Source organism: Homo sapiens, chromosome 1 (genome assembly GCF_000001405.40).
Source record: "Homo sapiens chromosome 1, GRCh38.p14 Primary Assembly".
Lineage (NCBI taxonomy): Eukaryota > Metazoa > Chordata > Mammalia > Primates > Hominidae > Homo > Homo sapiens.
Window position 1 is genome coordinate 47,215,356 of NC_000001.11, and position 18,185 is coordinate 47,233,540.

Below are 18,185 nucleotides of genomic sequence, written 5' to 3' on the forward strand. Positions count from 1 at the left end.
TACTAGATGCTCAATAAATATTTGTTAAATGAAACAGGGTGCCAGTTCCACATGCTGTAGTCCTAACTACTCAAGGGACTGAGACAAAAACCTTCTGGTTTTTGCACCTTTTGTTTCTTTTTCACCTTGATGGCCCTTGAACTCCTGAGCTCAGTTCAAGATCAGCCTGGGCAAAGGCTAGAAGAAGCAAGATCCCATATCTTGAAAAAATATATAAATAAATGAAAGAAAGAAAGGAAGGCATGATACTTCATTAGAAGTGCCTGCATGACCTACTGAAATCCCTGAGGATCAAATGGTCCACATGCAGTGGCTTCCCCCAGACCCAGGTGCTGTGCCCTTTGTTTTATTTTTGGAAAAGAATAAGGGTTGTATCATCTAAACCACATTTCCATTCCTGAGCCTCCAGGGAAGTCCTCCCAGATGATATGGAGCCTGCCACAGAGCCTCCACTCTCGACTTCCATTACCTTCAGACTTCATCTCTGAGTCCCCAATCCTTAAGAGCCAGGCATAAGAGCTGCAGCCGCCGCTGCAGCCGTTGAGTCATCAGGGAACCTGGGGCCCTCCTATGGTATGGCCTTAATCTGTCCTGAACCTAGGATACATACAACTGTCCCAGCCATGGAAGCTCACCCCAACACAAAGAGGGGATGTCTGCTGAGGCTTCCTGAGATACAAGCATGGGTGCATGAAGCCAAGGGGACAGGCCCCCTCTATGAGGCCTGTGGAGAGAAAGAATGGAAACCCTGGGGAGGAAGGCTGTCTCCTCCCCACCAGGCCTGCCTTCAGGGTTGAGGGTGGAATCCCACTTCCTAAGACTACAGCTGAGTCTTGGAGGCTCCCCATGTCAGGAGAAACAGGTTCTTGCCATGACTTTTCTTTCAATATCCCGTCTCAGGCCTAGGGGTGCAATGCAAGCACAGAGTCCTAAGGCCCCTTTGTAAAACTTTTATTTAGAAATCTTCCCGATACATCCTCACATATATATACACATCATCACCACATGGGTTTTTTTTGCTAAAGAGTCACACACCCACAGTGTTGGCCTCTGGGCTGTACAAAGGTCAAGGTACCTGGAGCGGTTACTCCTCTTCTGCAGAAAAATGCAGAGACCAACGCAATTCATCACATACAGTACAACGTTGACGGAAAGTGCTGGGCCCGCCCACAGAAACAATGCACTATGTACACGGGCAGGGGGCAAGTCTTCAGCAGAGGGTCACGTACCATCGAAATCACAAGTACGGCCAGACCCACCCCCAAAAGGCCGAAATAGTTGTCGGCTGACTACAGATGCTGTGCCCTTTGTTTTATTTTGGAAAAGAATAAAGGTTGTACCATCTTGTCATCTGCCATAACAAATAAAAGAATATGAATTTGTCTTAAAAGATGTGATTCCCTTCAGTGGTTATGGTCATCTTTGTTCTCAAAATGTTGTTTTGTTTTGTTTTACCTTTATGTTCTTTCCCCTTTGTACAGATGCTATTCTTGGAATGTTGCCAGTTTTTCATGGGTAACAAGGAAGGAGAGGAAGGATAAGGTCATGGGGTACAGAGGGTGAAAATAAAAATTACAGATCTTCTTTAGTTCTTACAAAGACCTAAAGACTTGCCCTTTCCTACCAGGCTTGTTTTGGGTAGTTGCATTACATTTTACACAGTCTGCCAGTGTTCCCATATCTCTTTTCCATTCTTATTACTGTCCCTGGCCTTGGAACAAGATAGAAATTAAGACAATCTGGGCTGGGTGCAATGGCTGACACCTGTGATCCCAGTGCTTCTGGAGGCAAAGGCAGGAGAATTGCCTGAAGCCAGGACTTCAAGACCAGCCTGGGCAATATAGCAAGACTCCATCTCTACCAAAAAAAAAAAAAAGTAAAAATTAGCCAGGTGTGGTGGCTCACACCTGTGGTCCTCCCTACTCGGGAGGCTGAGGTGAGAGGATTGCTTGAGCCCAGAGTTCAAGGCTGCAGACAGCAATGATGGCACCACTGTACTCCAGCCTGAGTGACAGAACAAGACACCGTCTCTCACACACACACACACACACACACAAATAGATAATCTGGAGAAATGAGGACAATCTCAATAACTCAGGCCAAAGCGGTTTACAATCTAAATTACCCAAATGCTGGGCAGTCAGGCACACCGGCCTACTGCCTAGGTCGTGGACTCAGGCTGCGAAACCCCACTGCAGGATTGAGATTGAGGGAAAAGAAAAAGTTCTTTACGTTCTCAAAACTGTCTACTTTCATGATCCCATTCAGTCCACACCATAGCCCTAGGAGATAGGCCAAGCCAGAGTCACATGGCAAGTCTGAAAGAAGAGGGAGCCAGAAGTTTGAGTTCTTAATAAAATATGTGATCCATCTCATAAAACCCATCCACCCATCCATACTGTGGCTACTTCTCATTCCTAACTCAAGCGAATCCACGGTGAAGCAAACAGCCTTAGATCCTACAGCAATGACTCTATCTTTAGACAGATGGGGCTCCTCACAGGATCTTCCAAACGTTGGAAAGGAACCAACCCTAATTTTCACCAAAACATGATCTGGGGAGCCTGAAATTGAATGGAGAGCCTGAGTGCTACAAAGGTGAACAATGTTGCCCCAAGCTCGAGAATTGGACCTTACTTAAAAGGAAGGGGAAAGGAGCAGACATATTCTCTGTCTGTACATGGCTGAATTAGGGCCCCATCATGGTGAGGACAAGCCACTAGGCTGAAGCCCAAACTATAAGGGGGGGCTTTCCAGACAGCCACAGTGATGAGTTCTTGCATGGCAGGACAGGGCCACAGGCTATCTCTCCTCTGACCTCGAAGGCAGAGCCTAGAGGGAGAGGGCTAGGGTGACTTAAGGGTACAATGACAGACATACAGGACTTCTGTGCAATTTGTCCCATGGGCTTAGATGCAGGTCACAGACAGGCCTCACCTTAAGAAAACCACATCCCACCATCTGGATTGACACAGGAAATCAATGAAGGGGCAGTGGTTCATTCTACAAAAGGATTCTTCACTTTACAAAAGGACTTGCAGTGGTTATTTCTTTAAAAGATGAAGGATAAGGATGTGATTTACAAAAATTTCATGTACAACTTTCAGAGGGGAGCACTTCTATTGCATTAAACCAACCTCCCAGACGCACCCTTGATGACCAAAAGCTGCACAACTGAGGGGTGTTTAAGGTTCTGCTAAGTGAATGTGCATATGTTTGGGTCTTAGCCAGGGCCTGGTCTCTGATTGGATTTCCCATACCCTAGAAGTGAGGCTGGATCCTGGTCCTATTGAGCGCTAAAGATTCCACCAATAACTGAAGTCAAGCAAAAATTCCAAATGCAAAGCATTCATAGGACAGGTTTTGTGCTCAATTCGGAACATAGACCAGACCATCAGCAAACAGACATCTTACAGCAAAGAAATCCCTCTAAGCATCCAGGAGAATGCACAGATGGGGCTGCGCATCTACTCAGCACCAGCGTACGCCCATCAGCACACTGGCATTCACTCGCCAGCATGAACAGTGATGTCGAGGAGTTGAAGCCCACATGCCCAAAATATCTCTTGCTCCATATCACTCTACTATCATTGTCCCTTTCTCTGCCTTCACACAAAGCCCGACAGGGCTTTCTCAGGGCTGCAGACATTGTCTCCACAGCCACAGGCTTAGGAAGGCAAGTCTCATTGGGGAGAAAGCAGAACTTTGATCCCCAGGGCAAGAAGTAAGGGCGACTGGGTTTCCTGACCCTCCGGCCCAGCTCATCTAGAGCAGACTGTCCACTGATCATCTTCTTCAACCAGGCCCTGAAGAAGGCACCTCGAGGCTTGTGACTCTGCAGCATCTGGCAAGCTGGATGGATCAACATAGGCCTGGGTGAAGATGGGGCTCACGAAATGGGCAGCTATTGGGTACCTATAAATATGGACAGAAGTGGCCACACAGGCCACCCCAGCCAGCTTGGGAGGGGCTAAAGGCAAGGCAGAGACTGCTGGATGCCTCAGATGAGAGCTGACAACCCCAGGTCTTAGGAAAGACAGGGATCCCAAACTCCAGGCCAAAAGCAGTGACAACTCCAGCCTCTTACTTGGGAAGGATTTGGGACTGAGGGAAGAGGGAAGACCGTGCCGTCTTCACAAAAAGTACCTACCACTTTGCTCCATTTTTCTGATCTCCTACTGGTACAGGAAACAGAAAAGCCAGCCCCAGGGTCAGTAAAGGCTTCCCAAAGTTCAGACATCCAGGAAAGTTCAAGTCCACCGCCTTGCTTCAGAGCCGCCCAATTCTCACCCCACCTGCCCTGAAGCCCACCATCCCAGCAGCCTAAGAACGCCCTCCTGGCTGATCCTGGTGGCCCAGACCCATCACCGAGGGCCGGCTCCATCGGCGGCAGGCAGCATGGCAGGATGGAGGCTGCGGGCCGTGTGCTTGGGCGCGGGCTCCTCCGTGTAGCTGTCCGGGCTGGCTGCCCCATCCAGGGAGCTGCCGCAGCTGGAGTTGGGGGAAAGCACGTCTTGCAGGAGGTCATCTGGGGGCGCGCCGCCCCCTCCCCCACCTCCACCCCCACCAGCCCCCACCACAGGGTCCTTGCCAGTCTTGGCCCGCTGGGTGCCCTCCTCCTCCTGGTCATTGAGCAGCTTGGCCAAGAAGTTGATATACTTCATGGCCAGGCGGAGGATCTCATTCTTGCTGAGCTTCTTGTCCGGGGGATGTGTGGGGATCAGCTTGCGGAGCTCGGCAAAGGCCCCGTTCACATTCTGCTGCCGCCATCGCTCCCGGCTGTTGGTGAAGATACGCCGCACAACTTTGGTGTGGGGACCTGGAGATTAGGAGGACAAGAGTTAGGAGAATGGGCTTGAGATTCCTTCCCCAAAGGCATCTCCATACATTGGGAAACTTGGGAAGCCTAGAATGCCTACTTTCCTTTTACTTAGAAAACATCCACCCTTCAAATTCAAGTTCCTGTGCTTCCTCATCTATGGGAACTTCCTCAACCCCTCCAGACAGATGTAACCAACCACCACGATACCGCAATCCCTGGAGTTCCATCACTCTTGATCATTACTTATGTTTCTGTGCTTGTCTCCCTCCCTGGGCTGTGATATATTTGAGGACAGGGACCGTATGTTATTCATTCATCCATTCACTTGTGCCAAGAGGCCTTACAGCTATGTCTAAGGAGACAGACTCCATTCCTATTTGACTACCCCTACCTAAATGAATGACTCTGGGCAAGTGACATAAAAACTTGTGAAGTGCCTTGGCTTCATCACCTGCAAAATGGAGGTAATACTACTAAGTCATGAGTTGTTACATGGGTCTAGTACCTAACACAGGTAAAGAACTTAAGACAATGCCTGCCTCAGCTTAGCAGTCAATAAATGTTAGCTATTATTATCCATGTATCAGTTTTTTGCTAACAACCAGGCACTGTGCTAGGCACTGAGGAATAATGGTGAACTAAATTGAGTGCCTGCCCTCATGGAGCTTACATGTTAATGGGGAAACGAATATTAAAAAACAAACAAACCAGGGCTGAATTGTAATGAAAAGAAGCTCCATGTTTAGCTCCAGTGGCTGGGAAGGCTTGTCTGAGGCTGTGAAGAAACAGCCAGGCACAAGAAGGGGAGAGGAAGAAGAGTATCCAAGCCAAGGGAATGCACAGGCCCTGCACTAGACAAGGCCTGAAGCCAGGCTGGCTGGAGTCCTGTGCACAAGATCAGAGTAGGCAGGGTCCAGACTCCACAGGGCCTTGCAGTAAGGCGGGGGGACTTTATCCTAAGGGTGATGGAAAGCACAGAGTAGGGGCTTAGAAAATGTCTGCTAACTGACCCATCATGGTGGCAGGTGGGGAATGGAGGGGAGAGCAGAGATCGATGCAGAAGGGCTCTCATACCCAGGAGAGAAGTGAAGACACAGCTATGCACAGCCATGGCCTATAGCTCTAGGCAGGCTTCTGAAGGCTGCCTCAGTCTCCTCATGTCTACAATCCACTGACTATGGCTTGGCCCAATAGTCACTAACATTCCATGTATAAAGACTTATGGAGCAGTGGCAGATACCAGCACACATGTCTAGGGCACTTATGGTGTGCAAAGCACTGTGCTGTGTTCAAGACTCACTGGGGATTTGTAAAGCCAGGGGAAGACAGTGAAGGGTCCTACTAGTGCTCTTGAACTTCTGGGCTGAGGAGACTGCTTCTCTCCCTAACATCGAGGCACAAGCCAGGGTCACATAGTCCAGGAAGCTCTGAGCACTGAAGGAACTGCCAGTCCTAGGATATTTATTTTCCCTCTTCTAGTAACCCCTGGAACCAGACCTCAGAGTGTGAAAACCGAGGTAGAGGAGAAGAGCTAAGACCTCACCTAAGTCCCACTGCCCATTTTATAGCTAAGGAGACTGAGGCTGGGATGGAAGCAGACCTCACCTCAGTGGTCAGTCTGTGAATCAGCTCATCCATGCCACACTTACTGCCTGATCATCTCTTTCTCTCTCCTACACGCACACAGGCATGCACATGCATGTGTGGGTGTTCACACACACACACTTTTAATGGGAAGGATCACCATCCCCTGCCCATGGTACCTCTGAAGCTGCCTTTCCAAACCATAGCAGGCCCTAGCCCAGCTGACTGTTTGCCAAAGGCCAGACCCAGCCTGGGAAAAACACAGCACAACTGCAGGGCAGTTCTACCCTGGGCGGCCTCTGAGGAAATTACTTGCTGCTTTCAGGCCTCCAGGCCAGACAGAGAGCATCCCTCAGCAGTGACATAGGGAGGACAGTCCCTCCACCATGGCTAATGCTGGTGATCTTGAGGGAGCTCCTAGTTGGGGAGGGGGTACTTATGACTGCTGTCACAGCTGGAGCTAGACTACATCCAGAAGGGGAGATGGTGGGGAAGTGGTCAGGACTTATTCCAAAGCTTAAGACCAGTGTTATGAGGGTGGTCCAGGACTTAGCTGTGTGACCCAGGACTTAGCTGTGTGACCTTGATCAAGCTGGGTAACCTCTCTCAGCCTCAATTTCCTTATCTGTGAGATGTAAACAATAATATTGCCCTCATGAGCTTGTGGTAAGGAATAAACAGAAATCAAGCACACATAGTCCATGGCACATAGTAGGTGTCCAATACATGGTAGTAGCAATTCAGCAACAGGAATCCACATCAAGTCCTAACTCTAGATCTTGCATTAGTTCTACTTCTATGGACTCTTTTTGGGTTCAATCTCTAATTTCAGTGTCCCCTAGACACATCCTGCACACTCATACCCTACCCTTCGCCTACATGTCTGCCTATTCCTCTCTGGTTTTATTCCAGAGAACCACCCCCTCTCCTCACCTTCCTCTTTCCTGAGTCTGTCTACCCCTCCTGGTGTCCTCTGCCTCTCTCTGGCCAGCACTGAGTAGGTGCTCGGTAAATATTGCCAACACTTATGGATAATGACTGCCCTACACTCCTGCACACCCCACAAACCCTCGCCCCTATGCTCTGCCTCTTCTGCCTATTGTAGAAAATGCCTCATCCCTGGGGAACTTCAGGGCTGGTCCTGTCTTCTTCCTGTTTGGTACACCCACCTCTCTTAGACTAGAGAACTCCTCTCTAATCTAGCAGAAGGCACCCCTGCCTCTCAGCCCTGCACACCTGTGCCCCAGGCTGCTTGGGTCTTTTGAAGTCTTTTCTGTTGTGCAGATCCCAGCCCCGCTCCTCTCCAGAACACCACAGAGGGCTCCACTCCAGAGGCTCCAGCTCCATACTCATATTCCTCCCACCAGTTTGGAGCATAAATCCCAGCCTTGCTCTGAGGCCTTGGGCAGCCTTCCTACAGGAGCCCCAGGCCACAGCCAAGCTGAAGTTCTGGGGGCATCTGGGTCTGGCTCAAAGTCCCTCAGCTCTGAAGTGCCTGCTCTCCTACCCCTGGTGCTGGGACCAATCTACTATACAAGGTCAACCTTGGAAAGATGGCGAGGGTCTTCCAAATCTCCCATTTGTCCAAACCACCCCTGCAAGTTCAGGGAATATTCAAGTACCTCAAAGGAGCAGTGCCAAGGCCCTTCTCGGGGAATCCAGGGGGCAAGGTAGAATCCATGATGTCAGGAAGGGAACTCCAGGTCTAAGCCCAGAATGTGTTAACGGGAGACAAGGGGAGCCTACTGTGTAGGGACCTCGGAGAAAACCCTTGATGACTCCATTGCAGGGAGGAAGCAGACTCCAGACTCTAAGGAAGACTTGGGAGGAAGTGCAGGGAATCCCTGAGGGTCAGTGCCTAGAATGGGGGATCGGGGGACACTGTGTGATTCTGCGCCCACTTGGGATCCTTGCCAAAGTGTAGGAATGGAGCCCGGACTGGGGACTGGAACTAACTCCAAAGGTTTGGGAACTAACTCCAGAGGTTTGGGCTAAGCGCCATTATGTGTCTCTCTCCCATGCCTCCTCTTTGCAGGACTGTGAGTGTGGTCCTGCTAGCCCCATCCAGGACTTTACTTAGCCCTAGCTCAGCTGCAGGGTGAAGGGCTTCGGCAGTTTGGGTTTGGAAAGTGGCCCGCCCATCTTTGTGAGATACCTACGGAGTAGTCCCAGATGTTCCCTCCTCCAGAGGGCTCTAACCAGCGTGAGGGGCAGGTACAACGGTGGGGTGGGGCAGACTCACCATCAGTAATCTCCATCTCATAGGGGGAAGGTCTCCTCTTCACTCGATTGTTGGTGGTGAACATAGGGAAGGCATCCGGCTCCCCAAAGAACCCGCTGTGGGAGGGAACGGGCAGATCACAAGATCCCATGTTGAGGGGAGGGGAGAAAGAGCTTCCTTAGGGATCCTCCCCACATGTCTTGAGCCCCCCACCTCTGGGCAACCCTGGTCCCTTCACACTTGAGCTGGGAATAGGCACACACAGACACACACACACACATACACACGGAATGCCCTCACTCTGTCTGTCATAAAACAAGCAAAGGGAGGAAAAGACACCTAACCACACATCCCTCCACACAAACACAGGCACATATGCAGAAGCAGAGGTGAATAACACATGGAATAAACACAAAAATGAACACACACACACACACACACACACACTTCACAGATAGAAACACTCTCCATTCTCCCGCCCCAGAAACAAGCACATAATCCACACACACCTCCACTCCCAAACACATGCCCACTCAGGCAAATGTAACCTTCACACCTGATGGTGTGCATCTTGGTCACCACAAAGGGGCACACTGTCCCCTCTCCCCACCTCACCCCACCCATAAGGGGCTGTAGATACACAACAGACAGGAAACCCTGACTCCCCTCAGCTGAAATGCTCCGCCTAGCTCTCTGCCCTCACCCACCCTAAGCTCCCCATAGCTCTGTCTCGGGTGCCCGCCAGGTTCATTGACTGCCCCACACTCTATCCCTGCCCCATCTGCCGGTTTCTATTCCAACCCTATGGCTTCTCTCCCTCATCATCACAGTAGCGCCAGCAGGGAAACGGATGCCCTGACACCAACCGGAGTACAGGCTGGGGCCAGAGACCACGGCTAGGAGCAGAGGGGCTGGGAGTGGAGGGACAGGTCAGTCCTCAGGCGGGCCCTCCAGCAGAGATTCGGGGGAGGGTGCCTCTGCCACCACCCTCAGATCCTTATCTCTTGCCTGTCCAGCTAGCGCTGAGTTTCCGAATGAATTTCACACCACAAACATCTACCTCTGCTCACAGCAAAGCACATGCAGGCACACTCTTTCCTGGTACCCACGCTCAGGGGACTCCTTCCTCTCCGTCCCCCACGACACCACCACCAAGCACACCAGCCACATGCCTGCACCCGCGAAGGTGTCCACGTCCTCCTCTCGGCTTCCACACAGCCATGCACCCCGCAGCCACACGCACACTCTCTCTCACAGAAGGCCCCTCCCTCACTGGCACTCACTCGGGGGCTCCAGCTTGAGGCTCTAGAGCCACTGGGTTTAAAACGACCTCCTCTCCCTGCGCTCCACCCGCTCGGCCCCCAGGGCAGGCCGCCGCCGATGTGTAGAAGGAAACCCCGGTGGGGGTGGTCGCCCTGCCCACCCGCCCAGCCCCTGGCCCCTGGCCCCTGGCCCCTGACCTGCCGAGAGAGGCCAGCGGCTGGCTGAGGCTGTAGAGCAGCGCGCGGCCGGGGGCGGCGGGGGCAGCCAGCGCGGGAGGACTCAGCTGCACCATGCGGCCGTCGCCGGGCAGCTCCGCTGTAACCGAGGCGGGCGCGGGGGCCGGGGCGGGCCCGGGAGGTCTGCACAGCTCGGTGGTGGGCACCCGATGGCGCGCTTCGGCCGTCGCCGCGTCGCGGCCCTTTAAGTCTCTCGCGGCGCCGCCCCCACCGGCAGGGCCGCCCCCCGGGCCTCCGCGCGCGCCCAGTTCGATGACTGGGGGCTCCGCTGCGGCCGCGCGGCTCGTCTCCTTGGCGACGCCGTTCAGCAGGACCAGGTGCGGGGGGGCCATGCTGGCCTCGGCCGCGTCCCGTCCCTCTAGCTGGGGGTCACTGCGAGCCGCCTCGCTCGGCGGCCGCTCGGTCATCCTGTGGGCAGACAGACAGACAAGCGGATGCCCGCTCTGACGACCGCCCCTGACCCACCGACGTGGGCTGGGGTAAAGGGGAGAAGGGCAGAGAGAGGAACTCACGCACCGAGACGTGAGAAGAGGCAGACAAAGTTAGCGCCACGTGGGGCTAGGGCGGGAGGCCGGTTGGGGCTAGGGTGGGAGGGAAAGAGGGTCTCTGGATTGGGAGAAGGGAGGGGTGCCTGGGAGACACAGAGACTGAGGGCCAAAAGGACAGAGATGGAGGAAGACGACAGAGACACCGGAAGAAAAGGAATACAGCCAGCGACAGAAACACAGAAGGGGAAATCAGGAGGAAGGAAATGTACAAGGAGGCAAGAAAGAGATTACTCTGTCCCCTTTCTCAGGCCTAAAGGGAAGAGGAGGGAACAAATTCCGGATCGTGCTCTTTGGTTTTAGCGGGGAATCTGTCAGGCAGGGGTTCGTTGCTTTAGGAACCTCCCTTGGCCTCTCAGCAATATTCCCAGCCCACCTACAGGCACACACCCAGAAACCCGGTGCGGATGGAAGTAGGGAATTAGAAAGTGGAGGCTACGGGGACTGGGATCCACTCCGCCAGAGCTGGCAGAGAATAATCCCGAGGAACCAGCTCCCTCCACACACACACACACACACATTCGCCCCCGCTGGGGAGTGAGGGAGTGTCTGTCTACACTGAGCAAATCCACTGTGAGTCCTCTGCCCGCCCAGCGGATCTTTACTCCCACTCAGACAGAGATGAGAGGTCGCCAAGGGAAGAAGATGGTGCTGGCCCAACCTCCCTGCACAGTCCACCTCGTTCTGCTCAGCTGGACTCTGAAGTGAGGTCGAGTCTCAAAGAGAGGCCTGGCTGAGGTAGAATGGAGCTGGGCATTTGAAGGGTTCCCTGAGGCCAGTGGGGTCTGGACTCCCATCCAAGAGCAGGACAGGATGTCATGAGGCCCTTGAACTCTTCCAGCCCCCCTCACCGCCATCTCCTGCCTTGGTGTTCTTTGGGAAATGGGAGGAATACCTCCTTTATGCATTTGAAAGTGCTGTGCAAACGTTCAAGTAAACATTATTAACAAGGAGAATGGGCCAGTGAGAAAACTGCCTGGCCGAATGTCAAGTCACTCACAGCCTATCTGTGAGAGAGCCAGACCAGAGCAATAATCTCACTTTGCTCAACCCTCCTGTATTCCCAGAGCAGTGAAACCACCTTGTGACCCCACAAGCATACTCCGAGATGACCACAGCCACTCTACTTCCCACAGGTGTGCTGGGGCTCTTCCATCACCTGGCTTCATCCAGATAGAGCTGGGCACCAGCAAGAACCAAAACAGAAAAATCAGGAGACTCAAGGGCCAGAGTTTGTGAGTTGTGAGTTGTACATATATGATCAACACCACATAAGTTGTTTAAAATAAGCTTTCTGCTCTCTGAATTATATAATTGGGTATTTAAAAGAAGAAAACAAATACAAAAAAACAATTTACCCCCATGCAGAGTCCATCTAAATCATACATAGCAGCCATTGAGCTCCCATACTGCCACTGCAATGCTCTGGACAGGAGTCATCCTAGGAACCATCCCTCCCACCCCAGAAGGGAGAATGGATCATCTGCAGCCTCCTCTGGAGCTTGGCTCAATTGCCACTAGACACCCAGGATGACAGAGAGTCAAGATTCAGACTGCTGTACACCTTCTTTGGGAATGCCAGCCCCCCAGGTCTGGCACAGAAACCACAAAATTCCCTAAGTCCTGGTGTATACAAGCTGTAAAGGCAGTAGGTCCCTGACACTTCATTGGAAGTGAGTTTATGATTTTGGTGGAGACAATAGGTCTCTATCCATAGAATGCAACCACCAAGACACCAAGGCCACTGGAAATGCACCAGAAGTATATCAGCCAGGTCCTCTTGCTCCCAGCAGCAGCGAAATGTGCCAGAAATATACCAACCCCTGGGAAACATACAAGCTTCAAGGTATTGGTTCCCTACCTCACTGCTCTCCGTCCTGACACACCGGTGTGAGCCCAGTGATCCATGCTTAAGCCCCAGCTTCTAACCGAGTGACAGTGTGCACTGCAGTTGCAGACTGAGCTCAAGCTCTGTTATGACACATTTTTACCCTCCAATTAATTCTTAGGCTCCTGCTCTAGCGGTGGATTCCTGAGAGGCAATGGGAGTACATATTCCAGATGAATTGACCCTGGCCACAAATGTCCTCTCCAGACACCTATAAATATCCCATCGCCAAGGTTCCTTGTAAGAAATATATGATTGGATCCCAGGATCTGTGGAGGACCTCTCCCGGCTCCTCCCCACATTTTAGGAAAATCCTGCCGGTTTAGGATTACCAGCCAGAGGTCCATGCCCCAAAGAAGCCACTCACAAACACTGATGGTTGTTGGCGACTAAGCTGCATCACTTGATTTGGATTACAGAAAGGAACGCCCGAGAGATTTTGTTTGTTTTTATTTGGGGAGAATGAAGGAGGAGGGAGATTTTAGACTGAATCGTTCTAGAGTATTTGACGACTACAGCTCCTCTCTCTTTGTACTACGGAGACCCTGCTTATAGCCCCCAACAGGAAATCCTCATCTGCAGTTGCCAGACAGCCAGAATATTTCCACCTGTGCCAGAACAAGACAGAAGACCCCAGGAGATTCTTCCTGGGGACAGGTCTCAAGCAGACCCAATCCCCCATACAGAGAATTTCTTAGATGAAAACAGCCTCAGGCCCTTAGACCCAGCCTCTGGTCTCTCTTCTGGGCCCACACCAGCACAACACCCTGGAGAAGCCCCAAGCCTGCACAAGTACCAAACCCACCAGGGAACAGCACCACCATCCTCGCCTCTACCGGAGAAGAGGGGTGTTCCTGCCTCCCCACCCTAGGCCTCAGGCCTGGGATCAGGGCCCACTCGAGCTGGGACTGCACTAGCCAGGAAGGCTGCCGCCTTCCTCCTGCGGGAGCTCCAGGCACAGTCTGTACCACCCGGATACAGCCGCCCCAAAGTTACCGGCCTTGGGAAACGTCCACAGAACCGGGACCAATGGGAAAGGCCTGGACGACTAAGTCCAACTAGCTGGTTTTACCCTGGGTGGAAAAGGGAAAAAGCCGCTGAATGCCACAGAGGCAGCTACAGCAGTCAGATCCCGATTCCAAGCTCTGGCTGGTCCTCCCCTCCCCCCACCCCCAATCTGAGAATGGGCTCTCCTCTGTCCTGAGCCTTCCTCACCCCAGGCCGGAACACAAGGCCTTCCTAGACACCGTTTCCACCGGCACCATTCCCCTGAAAACTCACCTGGGGCATATTTAGAGAGACCGGCCCCTCTGAATAGGATCTCCACTCCGCCGGAAAGGGGCGGAAGCCGAGGAAGAGGATGCACACCCGGGTCTTTGCTTTCCCCCTTTTTCGCTGAGAGGCCTGCAGTTACGCTGCGGTGTGGTCCTGGGCGATCTGCCGCGCCCAAAGCGAGTTTCCAGGAAAGATAGGGGTGGAGAGAAAGAGGCAGGGCAAGAGGGAGGGAGAGAGAGAAATGGGGGTCAATGGCTGGGAATTACCTCCTGTCCCCGACCAACCAGTCCAGGGAATCGCAAACAGCTTTCCGCCCCCAACCTGCAGGTGTTTGGAGCCTTTCCTCTACCCCCTCCTCCCCCCACCCGCCTTAAAAAACCCTATACATGACCAATCAGGAATAGCTATTTAGTCCAACAGCAACAACAACCCCTCCCGACAGGCTGTCTGGAACATTTTCGAACCCTCCAACTGGGATCGGTCTGGTTCAGTGTTTGTTTTCTAAGCAGGGAGGTGTCTACGCGGTTGCCTCCTCAGCCAGGTCTCCGGCTGCCGCTACACCGCGAAGGGATAGTCCCGGGCCTGGATGGGCGGAGGTCCGTGTTGGGAAAGGCGAATAGTCTTCAGACTCTGGTCGGTGGGACAGAACCTTGAAGTCCCCCCCACCTCATTCTCTCTCTGACCCCCATCCACCCACCTCCAGCCCAAAGCGAAACCAGAACCCAATTCCAGGGGCTGTACTTTCCTACAGAAATGGAGTTGGGAAGGGGGCTTGGAGAGAGATATCTGATCTGTTCAGGTCCTTTCTCGTCTCCCTACTGATTAAGAGAAAGAAGAAAGAGAGAGGAAGAGAGAGACAGAAAAAGAAAAGGAAATAAAGACCAACAAAGGGGGAAAGAAAGAAACAAAGGGGAAAAGTCCCCCACCTTCCCCTCCACCACCCCTACGAAATGATTTTCGATTTTTCGGGGTTTAGACAGAGTAAGGGAGAATTCTAATGATTTGTTACAGCAATAAACAAGGTAAAAGGAAAGGAGGTAAAAACAAACCCGACACTACTTTCAAGGATGTAGCAGGATTGAGCTTGCTTTTATTTTTTCCTAGTGGATTTTGTTTAATTTGTTTTGCCTAAATCGTCAGGCTTATGATCACACATCGAAGTCTTGGATTAACTGCGAAGGCCTCCTTCTATTTGCCGCGGCTTTGGTGGACATATAGGAATAATTCTTCCCTGGATTGCAATACAATGCGGAAGATTTTCTTTCTCCTCTTCTAATCCAAAAGAGGGGAGGGGAGGAAAGAAGAGGGGAATCCATCCATTCCCGGCGTGTTCGCGGGGGGTTAATGTTGCGTGTTCGCTGGGGGTTAATGTTTGCCTTATGACCAAGTCTCTGTGTCCGTGCCTCTCTCCATTTTCTCTTCCTACCTCAAACCCAGCAACTTAGAAAACGGCTGTAGCGGAAAAAAACCCGCTGCTTTGTTCTCCCGCCAAAGGAGCCAAAAGGGACAAACTGCTGCGCTCTGGGATGATTATTTTAATTAAAATAGATGTTAATGATGACGATTGTGATGGTGATGGCATTAGCAATTACAATAATTGACAAAACAAAATTCTTTCAACCCGAGCTAGGGCCCCACTAACCCGGTCCCTCCCAGAGCCCGGATTCGGCCTCGGTCTCGGATGCGACGGGTATCAGACCCAAGCGGCAACGTCGCTCACCCGAAGAGGGGGCGGGAAAATCTTCCCAGGAGGTGATCCCGAATGTCCCCACCCGAGGCTCGAGGCCTGGTGAATGTGCCCATTGTCCTTTCGGGGCCTCTCCCTTGGAGCCCGGCGGCCGCACCCACGAAACTGACCAGAAATGGATGAAGCCGGAGTGCAGCGGGAACCGAAGCCCGCAGCTACCGGCTCGAAGGCGCCGGCCTCGGCGAGCGCTGCTCAGCTTCAAGCCTGGAGGAGCCTCCCACTCACCAACGAACCCCTCAAACACCTAGGCACAGGCGGGCCTCCGGGCAGAGCAGCCGCCGACCGGGCGCTGTCCGCCCACCCAAGCCAACAACTGGCTCCCGAATACATCATAATTTGGAATAAAATGTGAAATCCCGCTCCCCGCCCCCATGCCGCCGCCCCCACCAGCGCCTCGATCTCTCGCTCGCCCTCCCCCCACTCCCGCCCCCAGCGATTTGCAAACGCACCTCTAAAGGACACAGGCACACAGGCATACAACTCAGTGCGGACAGGACCACACAGGGTCCAGCCCCACAGAAGGGCAGCAAACAAACACCACCTAGCACTGCCCCAGAAGCCGACTTGGTCAGCCCCGCACACTGCCCAACAGGACACAACGAAATCAGTCAAACGCAGCGGCTCACGGACACACAATCCAGCACAGTCGGGATCACACACGCCCGACATAACGACGACACCACCCAAACACAGTCGCAGGGGCCACACACCCCCACACACAGAATCAGATCCCTGCTGAGAACACCAACGGAGCACAATCGTACGCAACGAAGAAAACGCAGAAGGGCCTCGAAGGGTCCACATCTACACACCCCAACCGCGCAGGCACACCACACTCGGACACAGAGCCTGTCGCCAAGAAGACCACACTTAGAAGCAGCCAACGCCGCCCACAGTTCTCATGAACGCACTCTCACAATCCCACCGCATGCACACAACCACGAAGAAGAAATGAAAACCAACCACAGCCTCGCGCATTTCTGTATATTGCGTAAGGAAAAGGGGGAAGGAAGGAAGAGAGTCTCCGAGGCGGGAGGGGCGGCGGCAGCCGGGGCGGGGGCGTCCGTGGAAAATGCCCCCCCACCGCCCCCCCCGGCCATCGAAAGGAACCGAGGGAAAGGGAGCGAAGACCTCTTTTGCGGACGTGGGGAAAAAGAGGAGGAAATTGATGAAGAATTCGGTGGGAGGCCGCGGGTTGCTTTTCCCCTAGAAAAAGGCCAGAATGCTCACGTTTTTCCGCTACGGGGGTACGCGTGTGGCCATTTTGAGGCCCGGTCCTGAGCGGCGGCGGCCCGGCCCCTCCCGCGGCCCCCGCTCCCCCGCCCGCCCCGCGCCCGCCCGGCCCCTCCACCGACGCGCTGTAATCCCACTCACGTTCCAGGCCTCGTTAGCATGGGCCGAGGCGCGCCGGGGCCGTGTGCGCCGCAGAGATAAGGCACTGCCGCGGGTCCGCCCGCCCCCGATAAGCGCCTCGGCCATTATGGGCCAAATGATTCATTTTAATTTGGCAATTTCACCGGAGGGAGTGGGGACTGGTTGAGCGGCGCTAGGACCGGCTCCGGAACGCGCTGCGGGGAGCGTTGGACGCGCTGTCTAGGACCCAGCAGATCCAGCCCCCATCTCTAATCCCAAGGCCTCTCAGGAACCCCAGCTTCCCACAACCTCAGTCCCTTAACCTTTCAGACACCTTTCTTCAGCGACTCTCACCCCAGCACTCTGTCCCTACCTCTGAAGACCACCATGATACCAAAATCGTCACCTCCCAGGGCTTCTTTCTTATTCTTCCTCCAGTGTCCCAGACACCCAGATTTCAATGGGCAGTCTCCCTATCCCAGAAAGCTCCCCAGCCCTTCCCTACCTCTTCACCCCCTTCTAAAATAGAGCCGGTAACTCAAATCCATGGGCTCTACGGCGGCCTGGCAGAACCCCTGTCAATAGGGACATAAAATGCCTATTCTGCTAGGTTTCAGGCTGAGCCCAGAGCCCAGGAACACTGCTCCCCACATGGTATTTAAAAAAAAAAAAAAAGTTTAATCTAGCGACTGTAACACTATTCTAGGCATTCTGCAAATACTAATCTACTCTTCACAAACAGTCCTGAGAAGCTGGATCCTTAATTTACAGAAGAGAAAACTGAGGCACAGAAAGTCAAAGTAACTTTTCGAATGATACATAGCTAGTGCTTGGTGGAGTCTGCCTTGGAAGGAAATTTGACACGGAGTCTTCTCTGCGGCTCAGCTGATGAAGAGGGGCAGCCAAAACCTAGCCAGGGAAAGGGACCTGGGCTCAACTCATTGCAGAGACCAGGGTCTTTACTGTGGGGTAGAAATCTGAGTTCAGTGCCAGCTGGATGATGCGCTCAGCCCACGGAGGGTCTCTGGGTTCATTCTTTCATGGTGGAGTGGAAAGAACACATGTTCGAATTTTAGTCACTGATCTCTGAACCTCAGTTTTCTCATTTGTAAAATGGGGAGATAATGTCGACGTCACAAAGTTATGAGAACTAACTTATATGACCTTTAAAAGGTGGTGGTGAGGATAATAATGTATGGAACGTCACTCAGTCCACAGCCCAGGAAAACATCATATGCACTTGCATGGGAG

The 18,185-nt window shown here is 53.0% G+C and overlaps 1 protein-coding gene across 10 annotated transcripts, besides 4 other annotated features; it reads right to left on the reverse strand.

The window, feature by feature from the left end:
* Nucleotides 1–934: 934 nt before the first annotated feature.
* On the reverse strand, nucleotides 935–16,980 carry TAL1 (TAL bHLH transcription factor 1, erythroid differentiation factor). Of its 10 annotated transcripts, none has more exons than NM_003189.5 (6): nucleotides 16,812–16,980; nucleotides 14,299–14,416; nucleotides 13,841–13,996; nucleotides 10,088–10,534; nucleotides 8,649–8,743; nucleotides 935–4,819 (listed from the first exon to the last, which is right to left on the reverse strand). In NM_003189.5, exons 4-6 carry the CDS (start codon nucleotides 10,531–10,533, stop codon nucleotides 4,365–4,367), a joined length of 996 nt encoding a protein of 331 aa, NP_003180.1. In that variant the 5' UTR covers nucleotide 10,534; nucleotides 13,841–13,996; nucleotides 14,299–14,416; nucleotides 16,812–16,980; the 3' UTR covers nucleotides 935–4,364. The 10 variants fall into 10 exon arrangements, with proteins under 10 accessions (NP_003180.1, NP_001277333.1, NP_001277334.1 ...); NM_001290404.1 differs by lacking the exons at nucleotides 14,299–14,416; nucleotides 16,812–16,980 and adding exons at nucleotides 15,555–15,686; nucleotides 16,493–16,534; NM_001290405.1 differs by lacking the exons at nucleotides 14,299–14,416; nucleotides 16,812–16,980 and adding an exon at nucleotides 16,493–16,534.
* Nucleotides 12,976–13,937: an enhancer, noted in NCBI's record as "H3K4me1 hESC enhancer chr1:47694003-47694964 (GRCh37/hg19 assembly coordinates)". NCBI's record gives its function as "activates a minimal SCP1, AML or CMV promoter by ChIP-STARR-seq in primed H9 embryonic stem cells {active_cell/tissue: H9 hESC(primed)}" and the evidence as "EXISTENCE:reporter gene assay evidence [ECO:0000049][PMID:30033119]".
* Nucleotides 13,938–14,899: an enhancer, noted in NCBI's record as "H3K4me1 hESC enhancer chr1:47694965-47695926 (GRCh37/hg19 assembly coordinates)". NCBI's record gives its function as "activates a minimal SCP1, AML or CMV promoter by ChIP-STARR-seq in primed H9 embryonic stem cells {active_cell/tissue: H9 hESC(primed)}" and the evidence as "EXISTENCE:reporter gene assay evidence [ECO:0000049][PMID:30033119]".
* Nucleotides 15,092–16,065: an enhancer, noted in NCBI's record as "NANOG-H3K4me1 hESC enhancer chr1:47696119-47697092 (GRCh37/hg19 assembly coordinates)". NCBI's record gives its function as "activates a minimal SCP1, AML or CMV promoter by ChIP-STARR-seq in naive H9 embryonic stem cells {active_cell/tissue: H9 hESC(naive)}" and the evidence as "EXISTENCE:reporter gene assay evidence [ECO:0000049][PMID:30033119]".
* Nucleotides 16,066–17,039: an enhancer, noted in NCBI's record as "H3K4me1 hESC enhancer chr1:47697093-47698066 (GRCh37/hg19 assembly coordinates)". NCBI's record gives its function as "activates a minimal SCP1, AML or CMV promoter by ChIP-STARR-seq in naive H9 embryonic stem cells {active_cell/tissue: H9 hESC(naive)}" and the evidence as "EXISTENCE:reporter gene assay evidence [ECO:0000049][PMID:30033119]".

Bases quoted from the DNA above. Each gene is read 5' to 3' on its own strand.
- TAL1 (XM_047429046.1), bottom strand. From the start codon at position 10,533: ATGACCGAGCGGCCGCCGAGCGAGGCGGCTCGCAGTGACCCCCAGCTA. The intron at 8,744-9,910 runs GTGAGTGCCAGT...TCCCTCCCACAG, and splicing joins CCTCAAGCTGGAGCCCCCGA to CGGGTTCTTTGGGGAGCCGG. The intron at 4,820-8,648 runs GTGAGTCTGCCC...CCTAATCTCCAG, and splicing joins TGAGATGGAGATTACTGATG to GTCCCCACACCAAAGTTGTG.